This window comes from Homo sapiens, chromosome 12 (genome assembly GCF_000001405.40).
Source record: "Homo sapiens chromosome 12, GRCh38.p14 Primary Assembly".
In the NCBI taxonomy this organism is placed as follows: Eukaryota; Metazoa; Chordata; class Mammalia; order Primates; family Hominidae; genus Homo; species Homo sapiens.
The window spans coordinates 10292471-10309776 of record NC_000012.12 but is presented as its reverse complement, the minus strand read 5'-3'; the positions used below and the strand labels follow the sequence as shown (position 1 = coordinate 10309776).

General features: G+C 37.2%; 1 protein-coding gene across 18 annotated transcripts in view; it reads right to left on the bottom strand.

Annotated features, from left to right (window-relative positions):
• Nucleotides 1-17306, bottom strand: part of KLRD1 (killer cell lectin like receptor D1) — a 90648-nt gene that overhangs the window by 19832 nt on the left and 53510 nt on the right. For 8 of the 18 annotated variants that reach the window (NR_147038.2, NR_147039.2, NR_147040.2 and 5 more), the window contains exons 1-3: nt 1693-1907; nt 297-389; nt 89-151 (exon numbers count right to left, since the gene is read on the bottom strand). Coding sequence is in view for 14 of the 18 variants with exons in the window: in NM_002262.5 (NP_002253.2) it covers nt 89-151; nt 297-389; nt 1693-1699 (163 nt within the window). In the remaining 4 variants the exon portion in view is untranslated. Of the gene's footprint in view, nt 1-88; nt 152-296; nt 421-1692; nt 1908-3544; nt 3618-5229; nt 5332-17306 lie in introns of those variants that run through there. The other 10 variants (NR_182262.1, NM_007334.3, XM_047428823.1 and 7 more) reach the window with 6 other exon arrangements.

Below are 17306 nucleotides of genomic sequence, written 5' to 3'. Positions count from 1 at the left end.
TATTCCATCATGCCTCTCTGTGTGAAAAACAAGAAACTGCCTATTTAATCTTTTACCAATGCTAAGTTTTCCAAAAAATGTGACCTACCTTTCTGGAGTTCTATGTTGGGTCCTGGAGTAAATGCTGGCTCAATACTCAGTTTAGTAAAAGCTATAAGAAATGATTAGAAATTTGTTTAATTAGGTATGGGTTTATGAAATACTAAAATATTACACATTAGCAAGATGAAGCCTTTATTATTAAATGATGTCTTCACAGTTTTGATTTTTATGGAGACTTGCTTAGAAAAACTTACAATTTTTCAACAAAATTCCCAACGTAGACATCAACGAAAGGCATATTATCCCTAAGGTCCCAGAAATTAACCTCCACAGAGTGGTCTTAAACACTGTAGAGAAAGACAGACAGAGTAATGACTTAAAGAGCAAACTCAGGAGCTGAGTTCTTAAAAGCAGAAACTAGTGACGGAGAATCCACAACATTCTTTCATTTGATAACGGAGTCATCTTGCCAATAAAACACTGAAGACTTTCCAATCGGGACTTCACCCAATACCAACATTTTTATGTGATGTATCTTATTCTTCAGGAAGATTATTCAAACATTTTCTTCTCTACCAGCTCTGTTGCAGTAAAGTGAATTTACCATTTATTTTAAATTGGCAGAGGTGCTTAAAGATCTGGAGGTAGAAGATATTAACAAGCACCACGTTGTGTTTTATGGACTTACATAACAGGCATTTATTTTTATTCTCTCAACAAAATCACAAGATAGATAGTATGGTTCTCATTACATAGATGAGAAAACATAAGGTCCAATAATAATGTTATTTTCTCAAGGTATCAAAGCAAGTAAGTATCCAAGTCAGAAATCACATGAAAGTGTGTCTAGCTCAAGAATCTTTCATTCAACGTAGTCTACCATTGTCACAATAATACTAGTTGAGAGTATGCCCTCTCCTCATCTCAGTGCAGGTTTTGCTCTGATAAATGTCTAGCTGCTCATTGGTTCGTAGAGATATTATAGGGAAAAGAAGACATAGGAACATTCTGGACTTGGTGTGATAACTGATAACAAATTGATGGGTAACAACTTTGAGGCCTGGCTTCATTTCACAGTATATTGAACATACATAAACAATCCTTTTTCCCCTAGAACATTCCATTTGTTCATACTCAAAATTACTTGCTTTTAGGCCTTTCACCTAAAACATTTCAACATTAGGAGATTCTGTGCTAACGTGAACACACTCTCAAAGAGTGATGTCATTAACAACAGTACAATGTGTCAAACTGTTCATTTGTGTAATTTTTGGATGTCACAACATAAATAGTCAATTAAAACCTTTTCAGCATTGTGTCATTAATATTTGGCATTTTCTATTGCTATACTAGAACACTGTTGCTCACAATTTAACCAGGCTAAAGTTCAGTTCTCACTCAGAATTTAAAGGTAGCCCTGTCAGAAACCACTCTTCAAACCTGTGGAAAAAACTTCATGAAATCATGTCTAAGTTATACAATGAAGAATCAGGAAAATATAATGAATGTGGAAAGTGCTAATGCATGAAAATCCTAAAAACATCCACTGTTAATCATGTCCTTTTCTCTTAAAGCATTACCCCAAAATCAGCCAATCCAAGAAATAGCTTTTCTGGTTATTTTTAATTTAGTGACTGAAATCACACATACCTGCCATGAGAAATTATGTTCCAAGAGCGAAGTAGAGAAGGCACGATGTGTACTTTTTCAGAAAGAACAGCGTTGAATTGTTGAAGCTGAGCTGGAGATTAAAGAATCTGAAAGTTGAGTATGAAGAAATTTAGCAAAAATAGAGAATGAAAAATTGTGTATTTAAATGATGTTCTTGAATCATCTATTGGTGAGACATGTATTATAGTGTGAATAAGAAGCAGTAGAATCACAAGCCTCTGAAGTGTTCCAGGAACCACAATACAGGAAATTCTCACAGTACTTTTGCAATATTAACACTTTGGCAAGGACTAAAGAAGGTGAGAGGAGGTCAGAGGGAGTTTTGTTGCTGTTTTGTTTTTTATTGTTTGAAAATCAAATTCATTTTAAAGGGTTATCTGGAAAATGAAGGAAATGATGGGCAAACCAAAGGTAAATTTACTTAGCATAACAAAATTACTTACAGAATTTTCCTCTTTTAATAATAAACATTTATTATTTACCTTGTACTTAACACAATTTAAAGCACTTGGCATATCTTAGCTCATTTATTTCTGTAAATGGCTTGATAGTAAAGATATATAAATATCTTCAATCTATCAAAGAGAAAACTGAGGCATACAGAGCTAAGTAATTTGCCCAAGGTCACATAAATTGGGATTTCCATGTCTCACTCTGTTCTTCTGATCTCTACCTAATTATCCTGGCCACGACAGGCAAAGTTCAAAAAAGTAGAACTGGATGGGTTTCCCACTTGGACGCCTCATTCACGTTAGCCTTAAAAGCTTTTTTCAACACCTCAATTTTCATTTTCTTAAAGTTCTTTAAGCACGACTTCAGCTTCTTTATTTTCCTTATTTTTACTAATACATTATTATATTGTTTAGTGTGTTATCTAATTCAGATACTATACTGATACTTCGATATACACTTTTTCATCTACAGAAGAGTAACCTTGTTAATAGGAATATCAAATGTGGAACAGGTCAAATTTCCAATGTGGAAGAGATTGGCTATAATAAGAATCTTGAAAGGAGAGATTTCGATCCATGATTTAGTATCTGGAAATACAATCTACCATGCACCCCCATACAAAAGCAGACACTCAAATAAACGTTTTGTGTATTATATTTTGTATATTGTTTATGTTCAAGCATTATAATATTACTATAGATAAACCCTTTTGTAAAAGATGGGCTTTCAACCAACAACAGAAAAAAATGAAAGAAAAGACTACTTTGACTTCTCAGTTTTTATGAAGTCAAAACTTTCCATCTTTTCAGTTTGCATTGTGTGCCTAGAGCTGCTTTCATTGCACCAACAAATTTGTTGAGCTATAAATCCTCACTGAAGAATATAAGCGTAAAATCTACTTCATCCAGACTGTATGCAAATCTTAGTTGAAGTGATTTATTTAAAAATCCTTTGCTTACTTGAAATCTATTCATTTTTAGTGTTAGAAAAAGCTGGTCTGGAAGAAACCTGTCTGATACTATTTTTCCCCCATGTAAAATTGCCTCAAAATATAGGAGATTAGGGGTTTGCTTTTAGTTTTTCTCTTGAGAGAGTACAAATTTATGACAGAATGTGCAATAGGGATTATTACTACACTTTCATTACTAACACAACCACCTTTATTTGGAAGTTAGAGGTTCTAAGTTTTTAGAACCCTGTTTGGTGAGAATACGTCCATCAGTCATTGTCCTTTTTTTCATCTTAGTTCACTGACTTAGAAATAAAAATCCAACAAATACAAGTTTACTTCAAGAACTCCAGGCTTAAATATTTAAGATACCTAAACACACACACACACACACACATACACACACACAGTAAACATATATGTATATACCTCTTTAACTCTTTCTGAGCTGCCAACTCTGATTGTTCTTTTTTTGTTTGTTTTTGTTTGTTTGTTTTTTGAGATGGAGTCTCTGTCACCCAGGCTGGAGTGCAGTGGCTCACTCGGCTCACTGCAAGCTCCGCCTCCCGTGTTCACGCCATTCTCCTGCCTCGGCCTACCGAGTAGCTGGGGCTACAGGCTCCCGCCACCACGCCCAGCTAATTTTTTGTATTTTTTTTTTTTAGTAGAGACGGGGTTTCACCGTGTTAGCCAGGATTGTCTCGATCTCCTGACCTCGTGATCCGCCCGCCTCGGCCTCCCAAAGTGCTGGGATTACAGGCGTGAGCCACCGTGCCCGGCCTCTGTTCTTTCTATTTATTTTTGTACGTAGACAGGTGAATGATTTCCATGTACTGTATCTCTCCCACTCATCTCCACTTGTTCCTGAAGTTATCATTGCCTCGCCTATGTCCCTTGGAATATTTGGGGAACTATGGCCAACTAGTTATCTGTATAGCTGTATCTATGGGTTCTTTTTTTCTCCAATAACTGCTGAAAGCCTTGCTGTTCTCAGACATGCTAATCCGGAAGTGCTGAATAATCATCACCAGAATGGGCGTCAACAAACGAATCTTGTGATTTGCTATACAGTCCAGCAGTCTCAGCCCTAAAGTCAGGTAATTCTGAACATTGTGTTTTGCCCAGTTCCCAGAATTACTCAATAGTGTTATGTTCCAGTCACCTCCTCTAGAAGCTAGATTAAGAAAATAACCTTTATTGCGTTCCACTTTCCCTTTCCTATTACATTTCCTTTCCTACATTTATTGCATACACAATTCCAAATAAAGTTTCTACTCAAAGTATTCTCTGAGTGTGCTGCCGAGAGAAACCAGACTAAATTCCGCTGAAATATCCAGCTTCACTTACATAAATTTGCTTTTGAAAAGTTAGGTATCCTGCCAAAAGAACGTCTCTCTTTGCAGGACTTTCCATCCCCTAGTATCCATTGCAGGAAGATGCCCTCTTCCTCCCCTGCAATTTACTAGTGCCCTTGGTAAGAGCAAGTGATGACTTCAATAGCTAAGTCAACTTTTAAACCTTAGTCAAAAGCCAGGGAAAAGAAACTAATGTTCACTTAACATATAAACAGTGAAGTCTTTTCCCTACCTAAAAATGTATAACTAAAATGTTGCAGAACAAAATAACAGTATACGTTCTAGTATCCCCAAGGGAAAAATTTATTTTGATCTCACTGCTTTTAGAAAATGCATTCTTTGAGCGGAAAGAAAATTGCTCACATCAGGCTGCAAATTATTCTTTTAACAGAGAGAGAGGGCTCCCTGAGAAAAAACAAAAGACGTTACTGACCTGGTAAAATCTCATTGTAAACATGCTAATAACAAACCTACTAGCTATAGTGGTTTCTTATATATAGTGTGTTTTGCTTGCAAAATCCTTATCAATGGAATGATTTTAGCAGGATGTATTAGATTGTCTAAAATTGTTAGTGGTAAAATCAAATAAAAAAATAAAACTAAGGCTGGGCATAGTGGCTCACGCCTGTAATCTCAGCTCTTTTGGAGGCCAAGGCAGGTGGATCACCTGAGGTCAGGAGTTCAAGGCCAGCCTGGCCAACATGGAGAAACCCTGTCTCTACTAAAAATACAAAATTAGTCGGGCATGGTGGCACTCACCTGTAACCCCTGCTACTTGGGAGGCTGAGGCATTAGAGTCTCTTGAACTTGATGAGCTGAGATCGCACCATTGCACTCCAGCCTGGGTGACAAGAGCAAAACACACTATATAAAAAAAAAGCATAAAACTAGAATCTGTGGGTTTATGGAGGCTGGCTTCCTGGAAAAATGTCACATAAGCTATGTGTAACCATAACCATGTAACCATCTGAGTATAAAATGGAGATGTGTCATAACCAAAACATCTCCTTTTGTGTAAACGGTGCAGCCACAAACACCATTAAGAGACCTCATATGTTTATCTGTTTGTCTGGGCCAGAGTGTGTCCTAAGGGGAAAGTAAGAATGAGTGGGTGCTTTTGCAGGCCTGGGTTTTCCACTGTTTTGTCTGCATCTCACAATTATTGTATAACTGAAATTATGAGTAAAGCATGATACTGGGTGAAATCTCTGAGGATGCTTGTGATACTGATTTGACAATCCAATCCTTTATGTTACCTTCTTGAAGAACTGGTTAAGTTTTGTCCACATAGATAATGAGAAATATACATACAATTACATGTATAGAAGCAAACACTCCTTGCCTTTCATCTTATAGCCCAAGTTATCATTGCCCCTCTCTTATATCTAGGAACCTTTGTTTTACTTAAACAGACTTTTGCATCTGTAGGCCTTGGGACTTCTTTTCCCCCTAGATCTGCTCAAAACTTTGCCACCCTCATACCAATGGATCTCAGGACTTGATATATAAATATCCCAAATTATTTTGCTTATCTTATATGCAGGGGCTATTTGGGGATGCATGCCAGAAAAAGAAATGTGTTGTTGGGGCTCAGGACATATCACCCCAAAATATGATAGCAGGAGACTAAAATATGTCCCCTAAAAATATTTATCTTTGTTGGCATATTTCAAGCTGGTTATTTTGAGAAACTGCAGACACAAGAGTAGGTCATGTGAAAAGCTGCCCTTTTGTAAAGGAAAATTACATCTGTAAAGGAAATCTATATTAGTAAAATTATCTATATCAGGAAAAGAGCTGCTCCTGAACAATTTCTCCCCTGAAGGACTCTCATTTACATAGCAAGAAAATCTTTATTCAACATGTATTTCCTCACCTTCACCCTCCCACAACATGTCCCTCTTTCAGAAGCCCCCTCCAATAAACCCCAGTCCCTACTCCTTTATGGAATTCAGGATGCCATTCAAGTGTCAATCATCCAGCCCTTCAATGAGTTTCATATTTTTGTGGAACCCAACACTAAGAAAAACTCCCCTAATATGAAGGAAAAGAGGATAAGCATAAAGGTGAAATGGTGAATGAGAGTAGGCAGATAAAAGAGGTCAGAGAAGCAGGACGGAGTGCTTCTGACACAAAGGTTCTCATGCTATGAGTGAAGCCACCTCTGCAAAATTATGACAGTGAGAGAAATCTGGCATAGTTGATTTAATCTTGCTTCTGACTTCCAAGCTGACTTGATCATTACTGGGTGTAGGCCAAGCTAACTTTGGGAGGAATTTAGTTTATAGTTTAACCTTAAGGCAAGCATGATAATAGCTCTTCTCAAAACTCAGCTTTTGACAAACTAATAGCTTTTGACAAACTAATAAAAAGGTCACGAGGTTAGGATTATGAGAGGGGCCTGAGCTCTGCTAAAGTGTAGGTGTAGTTTCTATAATCACTTACTGCTCAGGAGTCATGTGTCTAGTGACCTTCCCAATTGCTCCTATAGATAGCATCAATATTGTAGAAGTTAAGGTTGGTTTTTTTTTTTTGAGGTGTTTTTCAGACTAACCCCACCTGGACTCCTGGCTTATGACTCAACTAATCCTGTGGCCCCACCCAGAGGCAGACTGAGCTCGTGAGGACCATTTTCTATACCCTTATGGTTTCACTGCCCCTCAACCAATCAGCAACACCCATTCCCTAACCCCCTGCCCACCAAATTGTCCATAAAAATACTAGCCTTCAAGCCTTCATGGAGACTTTGAGTGATAACTCCAGTTCTACCAAGTAGGACAGCCTTGTGTCAATTAATTTCTTTCTCTGCTACAATACTGGTGTCTCAGTTGATGGATTTTGTCTGTGCAACGGCCAGGAAGAACCTGTTGGGTGATTGCATGAGAAGGGAGGCTGCACTGGGTGACACTTACCTGCCACTGACATCAGCACTTCCCTGCATCAATATCCTGAATTTTTATGGGAGTTGAGTAAATGTCTTGAAAACAACCCACGTTCTGTATAGATGAGAACAGTCATACCTTGTTTTATTGCAACCTACTTTATTGCATTTTGCAGAAATTGCATTTTTTACAAATTGAATGTTTATGGCAACTTTATGTCAAGTAAGTCTATCAACACCATTTTTTCCAAAAGCATGTGTTCAATTCATGTCTCTCCGTCACATTTTGCAACTGTCAAATTAATTTAAAATATTTTCATTAATATTATATATCTTATGGCAATCTGTGATCAGTGCCTGTTGATGTCAATTTTGTAATTGTTTTGGGGCACCAGGAACCATGCCCATATAAGATGGTGAACCGATTAGTAAATGTCGTGTGTGTTCTGCTCCACTGACCAGCTGTTCCCCATCTCGTTCTCCCTCTTCTCAAGCCTAACTATTACCTGAGATACAACAATGCCAAAATTTGGCTAGTTAATAACCCTACAATGGCCTCATGTGTTCAAGTGAAAGGAAGACTCTCATGTCTCTCACTTTAAATCAAAAGCTAGGAGGACATGTCCAAAACTGAGATGAGGCTGAAACCTAGGCTTCTTACACAAAAGAGTTAGCCAAGTTGTAAATGCAAAGGAAATGTCTTAGAAGGCAATTTTAAAAGTGCTACCCCAAATGAACACACAAATGCTAAGAAAGCCAAGAAGCCTTATTGTAATAGTACTACCAGGTTGCTATGCCCACCGTGCAGCAGCAGACCAATACACTGACTGCAGGTTTGCAGCAGAGAAAGAGTTTAACAATCGCAAGGCACACAACAAGAAAATGAGAAGAATTCTCAAGCCCCAAATATTTTTTGTGAAGCTGTTCTGGGCAAGAATTTTTAAAGGATTGTGGAGGGCAGGGGTTGGAACATTTGAGATCATCTACTGATCAGGGTAAGGGGGATGAAATCATCAGAATGTGGTAACTGCATTCTATCATGTGTCAGTTTCTCACCGGGCCCTCCACACTGGGTGGCATTGGTGGTTTTGTTGGTATGCAGAACCTAAAGAACAACCTCAAACAAAAGTTTATCATCTCACAATGTCTTAGATTTTATCTATGGAACAGAAAAAGAAAAAAGTCTTCTGACAAGGCCTACATTATCCTAGGGTACTAAGCTACAAATGGCTACACAGAAATGAGTCAAAGGACAAGCTGGCTTAATCATTGCTGCCATTGTGCTGCAAGCCTAGTTGGATTTTTCCCCCTTCATTCATTTTATGAAATTTGGGGGTGGGGCCATTTTCATTATTGTGGATATGGAGAAAGTTGTAGTTGTCTGCATAAGAGATCAAACCAGTCACAACATTCCCTTAAACCAAAGCCTAATCTAGAACCCTAACTCTTTTTAATTCTATGAAAGCTGAGAATGGTGAGGAAGCTGCAGAAGAAAACTTGGAAGCTAGCAGAGTTTGGGTCATGAAGTTTAAGGAAAGAGGTTGTTTCCATAACATACAAGTGCAAGGTGAGGCAGCAAGTGCTGATATAGAAGCTGTAGCAGGTTATCCAGAAGATCTAGCAAAACTAATTGATGAAAGTGGCTACACTAAACAACATATTTTTAGTGCAGACTTCTTTCTTATATTGAAAGAAGATGCCATCTAGAATTTTCATAGCTAGAACAGAGTAGGTGATGCCTAGTTTCAAAGCTTCCAAGGAGAGGCTGTCTCTCTTCAGAGGTGCTAATGCAGTTGGTAACTTTAAGTTGAAACCATTGCTCACTTATTTTTCTGAAACTTTAGGGCCTTAAGAATTATGCTATATCTATTCTGTCTGAGTTCTACAAGTGAATAAACAAAGTCTGGATGGTGGCACATCTGTTTATAACATGGTTTAGTAAATATTTTTAACCTGCTATTGAGACCTACTGCTCTGAAAACAACTTATACATTTTAAAATATTACTGCTCATTGACAATGCACCTGGTCACATAAAAGCTCTAATGGAGATGTACAAGGAGATACATGTTGTTTTCTTGCCTTCTAGCACAACATCCATTCTTCAGCCCTTGAATTGAGGAGTCATTTCAACTTTTAAGTCTTATTAATATTATTTAAGAAATACATTTTGTAAGGCTCTAACTACCAAAGATAGGGATTCCTCTGATGGTTCTGGATAAAGTAAATTAAGAACTTTCTGGGATGGAGTCACTATTCTGAATGCCATGAACAACTTTCATGATTCATGGAAGGAAGTCAAAAATACAACACTAACAGAAGTTTGGAAAGAGTTGATTCCATTTCTCATGGATGCCTTTGAGGGGTTGAAGAATTCAGTGGAGGAAGTAACTGCAGATGTGGTAGAAATAACAAGAGAACTAGAATTAGAAATGGAGACTGAAGTCGTGGCGGAATTGCAGCAATCTTGTGAGAAAACGTGAATATATGAGTAGTTGCTTCTCATGGCTAAGCAAAGAAAGTGTTTCTTGGGATGGAATCTACTCCTATGAATATACATAAACTTAGTTGATAAAGCAACGGCAAGGCTTTAGAGGACTGACTTCAATTTTGAAAGAAGTTCCACTGTCGGTAAAATGCTTCAAACATCATCACATGCTACAGAGAATCTTTCATTAAAAAAAGAGTCAACCAGTGCACAAAATTCATTTTTTTATTTTAAGAAATTGCCAAAGCCTCCTAGCCTTCAGCAACCACCACCCCAGTCAGTCAACAGCCATCAACATTAAGACAAGACCCTCCACCAACAAAAAATTAGGACTGGCTGAAAGCTTAGATGATCAATAGCATTTTTTTAGCAATAACAGATTTTGAAATTAAGGTAGATATACTGTTTTTTAAGACATAATGCTATTGCACATTTAACAGACTACAGTATAGTATAAACATAACTTTTATATACATTAGGAAACCAAAACATTTGTGTGACTTATTTTATTGTGGTGTTCTCTAATCAAACCCATAATATCTCCAAGGTTTGCTTATATTATGCATTTCCTGCACCCAAAGGATATTGTAGCTAGTTTTCTTATCATTATCTGGAAATAATTTCCTTTAAAAGAGATAGCATCCTTACTATTTAACTTCATCTAGATACCTCTGTTCCTTGTCAAGGTCAAGAATCCTTGAATGCTTTTAGCAAAAACAAAACAAAACAAAACAAAACATAATTAAAAAAAAAAAACGCAGAATGGAACCCTAATGGTAACATGGAAGAGACTGTCTCTGAACCTTGGTTTGTTTACACAGAGTAAATCCTAGATTGATTCTTTGCTGGAAAAGTAATAAAGCACCTTTCTATACCATTAGAGAGAAATCTGATAAAAATAGGAGAACCAGAATGAAAGTCATTTCCCCTTGGGGCAGGACCAGGGTAAGCTGCTGAGACCAGCTCAGTCGTGGAGACCCTAACCCAGCGGTGCTAGAGGAATTAAAGACACACACACAGAAATATGGCCTGTGGAGTGGGAAATCTGGGGTCTCACAGCCTTCAGAGCTGAGAGCCTCGAACAGAGATTTACCCACATATTTATTAACAGCAAGCCAGTGATAAGCATTGTTTCTATAGATTATAGATTAACTGAAAGTATTCCTTATGGGAAACAAAGGGATGGGCTGAAATAAAGCGATGGGTCTGGCTAGTTAACTGCAGCAGGAACATGTTCTTAAGGCACAGATCGCTCATGCTATTGTTCATGGTTTAAGAACACCTTAAAAGGTTTCCCGCCCTGGGTGGGCCAGGTATTCCTTGCTCTCATTCAGGTAAACCAACAACCTTCCAGCATAGGCGTCAAGGCCATCACGAGCATGTCACAGTGCTGCAGATATTTTGTTTATGGCCAGTTTTGGGGCCAGTTTATGGCCAGATTTGGGGGCCTGTTCCCAACAGTGAGCACAAGTGGGAAATAAAACTGTTAAATTTCATAATGAGTCCTTCTGTACTATGGATTTTTAAAGCACATGTGTGTTTTACTTTGGTTAAAAAATAATTAAGAAAAAACTTTAAATCTCCAAGAAGCATAATTACTAACTCATTTTACTTAGAGTTCGAATGTTTTGAAAGATGGTATTCTGTAATTTGTATCAATCACCACAAACTTAAGTTCATTTTCCTAATTATTTCTTTATTCAACTGTGGAAATGGTTCTGGTTTGATAGTCACATTGTCTTTGTAACTCCAGGCTTTCTTGACTCTTGGCATGTTGTGTGCTGAAATCATGAAGCCTAGTTAAGTGTTCCTCAATTATATCATTAGCACCTGAAATGTACTATTAGATGCAAAATAAGACTATCAATTTAAGTTTCTTAAGATATATATGTACCATTATCATAAAAGTGTGCTGCACAATATTAGACACATGATATTTGGAGAAAGTGTTTTCTGGATTGATCAGGGAGAAAAGAAGTTCAAGTAAGTGACTCCTTTGGTGATGAAAAAACAAAAGAAAAACACCCAGAGAAAAAGTAAAAAGTGCTAAGTGACCAGAGCATAGATTATATATTTCATCTGGGAAAGTCTAGAAGCAATCATTGGGTTGATCACTGTGTCAAAGCAAGAGGCAAAGGACTTTCACTTGGTCTGCAGAACTCCGAACCATTAAGAGTAGATCACCCTACATTACTCCCATTTGTGAATGAATAATACATAGAAACAATCTCCAGTGTTTGGTTAGAAGAGAGCAAGACAAAGACCCAGAAATAATTTGCAATTTGTCAAGGGAGAAGAAGAAAACCCCAATTTAGTAAAACATAGTGACAACCCTGAAAGAGTGTTAGGGTTGCTGAAACCGGGCTCGGGGGAAAATGCAATACTTAGTTTATAAAATATATTAAAATAAGAAAGCATATAAAATTATTTTATTGAGTTTTTAATATTCTTAGGTAAAGACAGAAATTTAACCAATAATAGTCTAAATGTTTTAAAAATATTTAAATTATAATTTTTATTTTAATGAAATATACATTGACACATTTAACTATCTTCTAGAGGTACAGAAATGAGTGTGATTTGTTAAAATTTAAGAGGTTTTGTTTTTAATCAGAACAGACTTGGCGCTTTCCTAAGAAAACAGTTATAAAAGTGTTTGCATACAAATATAATAATTTTAATTTCAACGTTTCTCTTTCCCTGTATTCCATAGAATGATCAAAAAGAGATGGTGTCCACACACCAGGATACAAATGAGCACAAGTTTACAACTTGCGTGAGCACAGGTACACTTTCATCCTTTGAGCTATCAGGATAACCTGGGTGAAGATGAATTGTGCTGTTTCCTTCCTTCTCTTGTCTCAAAATTTCACACCTTTAGATATTACCTTTAGTGCAGTTCTCTAAAATGTGAATTGCATTGGGCAGATCATAGATTAAACTTGAAAAAACAGCAGAAAAACACCATAACTACCGCACACTTAACAAGTTATGGGAGAAAGCAGAGCCATCTTCCCACAACCAAGTGCCAATTGCTCTCTGAAACAGTGTCTGACCCAGTAAAAAGAGAGTAGAGAATTTATAAACCCCTGGTTGGAAACACAGCGAAACATATGTATGAATCCCAATTCTGGCAATCCCAGTACTGCAGGGGCCGGGGGGTAAGTTTCCCTTGGCCTTCTGAAGGTTCAACTCCACATCTCCAAAATTATTTTCTTTTATAAGAGAATAGTCACATGACTCCTCTTTCTCTCTCTCTCTTTTAATCCATTTACTCATGGAGTATAAATTATTACCAAACTTCACTCATTTTAGGAGGTATCAAAACATAAATGTTCTAGGAACTTAGATGAGTAGATCTGCCTTGCACTTCCTTTGTATGTTTTTGTGTGTGTGTGTGTGGTTTTTTTTATTTTTATTTTTGAGACGGAGTCTCGCTGTGTCGCCCAGGCTGCAGTGTGGTGGTGCAATTTCGGCTCACTGCAAGCTCCACCTCCCGGGTTCACTCGATTCTCCTGCCTCAGCCTCCCGAGTAGCTGGGATTACAGGTGTCCGCCACCACGCCCGGCTAATTTTTTGTATTTTTAGTAGAGACGGGGTTTCACTGTGTTAGCCAGGATGGTCTCGATCTCCAGACCTCGTGATCCACCCGCCTCGGCCTCCCAAAGTGCTGGGATTACAGGCATGAGCCACTGTGCCCGGCCTCCTTTGTATGTTATTAGAGATTCTACCTCATGATATCTCATTTCATGGACACTGTGGATAAAACATCAGTATGTCCTACAGTCTGTAGTCAGTCAGCAAATGTTCTAAGTGCAGCTGTGGCAAGGTGCTCTTTCTTAAAATAATGGACCCATTTATAGATTATCTCTAATATTACTCTACATGTTATATGAGAAATAGGAAAAAAAGCTACATAATTTAAAAATAAATTATAGAGAGGAGTTAAAATTCTTATGATTCAAAGCAGTTTAATTGGTCATTGACTAAAACAATTGATAAGACTAAAATCTCACTCTGCATTGAAACACGGTATTAGAATTATGATTGCTTATCTCTAATCACCTAAAGGGCAAAACATGAACCTAATATGTTTCTTTAAATGACATATCTCACTGTAAGAATGTTGAATAAGTATTCAATATTCATGATTAAGACCATTTTATTTCACAGAAAAATGGGTGTCTATATTTTAATGTATTAATAATGATATATTTTGATTTATTGTAAATGTTTCTGTTTTATTTACTTTTTCTGAACTCTTGAATGTTATGCTCTTCATGTAATTTGTTAAGGTATCTTATGTCCATTTTATCACCTGTATTTTAAAGTACAAGTATTGACCAGATAATTTGTTCAAAATTCTATTCAATGTGTAAAAATTAAATTCAAATTATTTAGCATAATTTTGTTTTTTTATTTTTTTCCAAAAAAAAATGGGATACCTGGCTTAAGAAAGTATTGACTTCTCTCTACTCTCTAACTGAAAATGACTGGAATTCTGAGATTCACAGGAAAAATGGCTTTCTAGAAAATTTTTTCTTCATTAGAAATCAGATACTTGAATCTGTTCCCAATCCACTCTGGAATAGAACAGTGTCACAAGGGAGACAGAGACAACTTTAAAGAAAAATGAAGAAATAACTCAAAATAAAACTGAAATTTGAGCATGATCTCGTAGGATAAATAGGACTTGAAAAATACAGATACGTGGTTACAATAAAATGAGAAATAGGCAACAGCCATGGTTCACATCAGAATCTAAAAGGACAGAAAAAATTCAACATATTCTCTCTTCTTGCTGTTTTAAAATAAAATATGGTATACATATTGACAAATACTAAAAGCACAAAATTTAATAATTTATGAGAGGCAGCACTCTTGTAACTACCATCCAAGTCGAGAAATAGAACATTTCCAGAATCTTCAAAAGCTCTCCTCATTTAACCTTCCAATTACTACCCTCTTTCTCTTTATAGATGTTAGCGCTGTCTTGACCTCTAACCCTGTACAGTTCAGTTTTGCCTGGTTTGATAATTTATCTTACTATAACGTATATAGTCACATAATATAAATTGTTTTGTGTCAAGCTTCATCCAAGAACTCACTTTCATGACCTTGACACTAAATAGGCAGGACACAAATTACCCTGGGCAGTGGATAAGATACACTGATTGGCTCAGTTGGGACCCAATTTGGATATCAGAGTGGGTCCAACTTCAGTCAAAACAAAATGGGGGCCGGGTGCAGTGGCTCACACCTATAATCCCAGCACTTTGGGAGGCCAAAGCAGGTGGATCATGTGAGGTCAGGAGTTTTGAGACTAGCCTGGCCAATGTGGTGAAACCCTGTCTCTACTAAAAATACAAAAAATTAGCCAGGCATGGTGGCATGGGCCTGTAGTCCCAGCTACTCAGGAGGCTGAGGCAGGAGAATTGCTTGAACCTGGGAGGCAGAGGTTGCAGTGAGCCGAGATCATGCCATTGCACTCCAGACTGGGCTATAGAGTGAGACTCCTTCTCAAAAAAACGAACAAAAAAATGGGTAGGAATGATTATCTAGAGGAAATTTTGAGGTACTAAACTTCTAGGAGGATGCACTTTGACAAACTGGTAACTCCTCTTCATACTTGCTTGTTTTTATTTTGCTTTTTGTTTTTCTTAAGATGGATCTTCCTGAATGAGTCCACCATGGATTTACATGTGCAAATTCATGTTAAAATACAGTATTTGGGAAAAGACAAGAGTAAAGAACACATATTTGGGTGCGTTGTATAGAGAAATCTTCAAGTCCATATTCATCAAGAAAGAAAGAGTAGCAATGACTTTCACAAGCTTTGATTTGGAAACAGCACATCCACCATCTCTGAATTTACCATCTTTGATGTACAGCGACCATTTATTAAGTAGGAGAGGCAGAATCAACAATGTGGCTGAGACATAAGAAGAAAAGGAAAGTGAGGATAGCTAGCGTTCATACCAAGGGAATAAAAATACTGCCTGTTAACCCCTGAGATTTTTTTTCAGTTTTTATTTTCAAATGAATATAGATTAACAAAAAAAGTTACAAAAATAGCTTAGGGACCTCCCTTGTCCCTGCTGTTGGGTTTCCCCAGTGATAATACACACACACCTCATTTTACTGCACTTCACTTTATTGTGCTTCACAGGTGTGGCATTTTTTACAAATTGAGGTTTTGTGGCAACCCTACCTCTAGCAAGTCTATCAGTGCCATTTTTTTTTTAAAGCATGTGCTCACTTCCTGTCTCTGCCTCACATCTTGGTAATTCTTGCAATATTTAAAACTTTTTTACTATTATTGCAATATCTTTTATGGTGATCTGTGATCAGTGATGTTTGATGTTACTGTTGAAATGGGTTTGTGGTGCAACAAACAATGCCCATATAACATAATGAAATTAATTGATGAATGTAAGTGTTATGACGGCTTCACTGGCCAGCGATTGTCCATCTCTCTACCTTTCCTTAGGCCTCCCAATTCCCTGAAACACAACAACACTGAAATTAGGCCAGTTAATAACATTACAATGACCTCTAAGAGTAAAAGTGAAAGGAAGAGTCACACATCTCTTACTTTAAATCAAAAGCCAGAAATGAATAAGCTTAGTGAGGAAGGCATTTTGAAAGCCCACATAGGCCGAAAGGCCTGTTGAGTCAAACATTTAGCCAAATGGTGAATGCAAAGAAAGAGTACTTGAAGAAAATCAAAATTGCTATGCCAGTGAGCATGCGAATTATGTGTATATGTGTATATATATATGGAGAAAGTTTTACTGGTCTGTATCAAAGATCAAACCAGCCACACAATGTTCCTTTAAGCCAAAGCCTAAGGCGCTAACTCTTCAATTCTATGAAGGCTGTGAGAGGTGAGAAAGCTGCAGAAAAAAAAAAAATTGGAAACTAGCAGAGGTTGCTTCTTGAGATTTAAAGAAAGAAGCCATCTAAATAATAGAAATGTACAAGGTGAAGCAGTAAGTGCTGATGAAGAAGCTACAGCAAGTTATCCAGAAGATCTAACTAAGATAATTGATAAAGGTGGCTACACTAAACAACAGATTTTGAGTGTACATGAAACAGGCTTCTGGAAAAGCCATCTAGGACTTTTATAACTAGAGAGGAAAAGTCAGTGTCTTGCTTCAAAGCTTCAAAGGACAGGCTGGCTCTCTTGTTAGGGGCTAACTGGTGACTTAAGTTGAAGCCAATGCTCATTTACCATTCCAAACAATTTAGGACCCTTAAGAATTATGCTCAGTCTACTCTACCTGTGCTCTCTATATAGAGCAACAAAGTCCAGATGGCAGCATGTCTGTTTACAACATGGTTTGCTACATATTTTAAGCCCATTGTTGAGACATAGTGCTCAGAAAAAAAGATTTCTTTAAAAATGTTATGGCTCATTGAGAATGAGCCTGGTCACCCAAGAGCTCTGATGAAGACGTACAAAGAA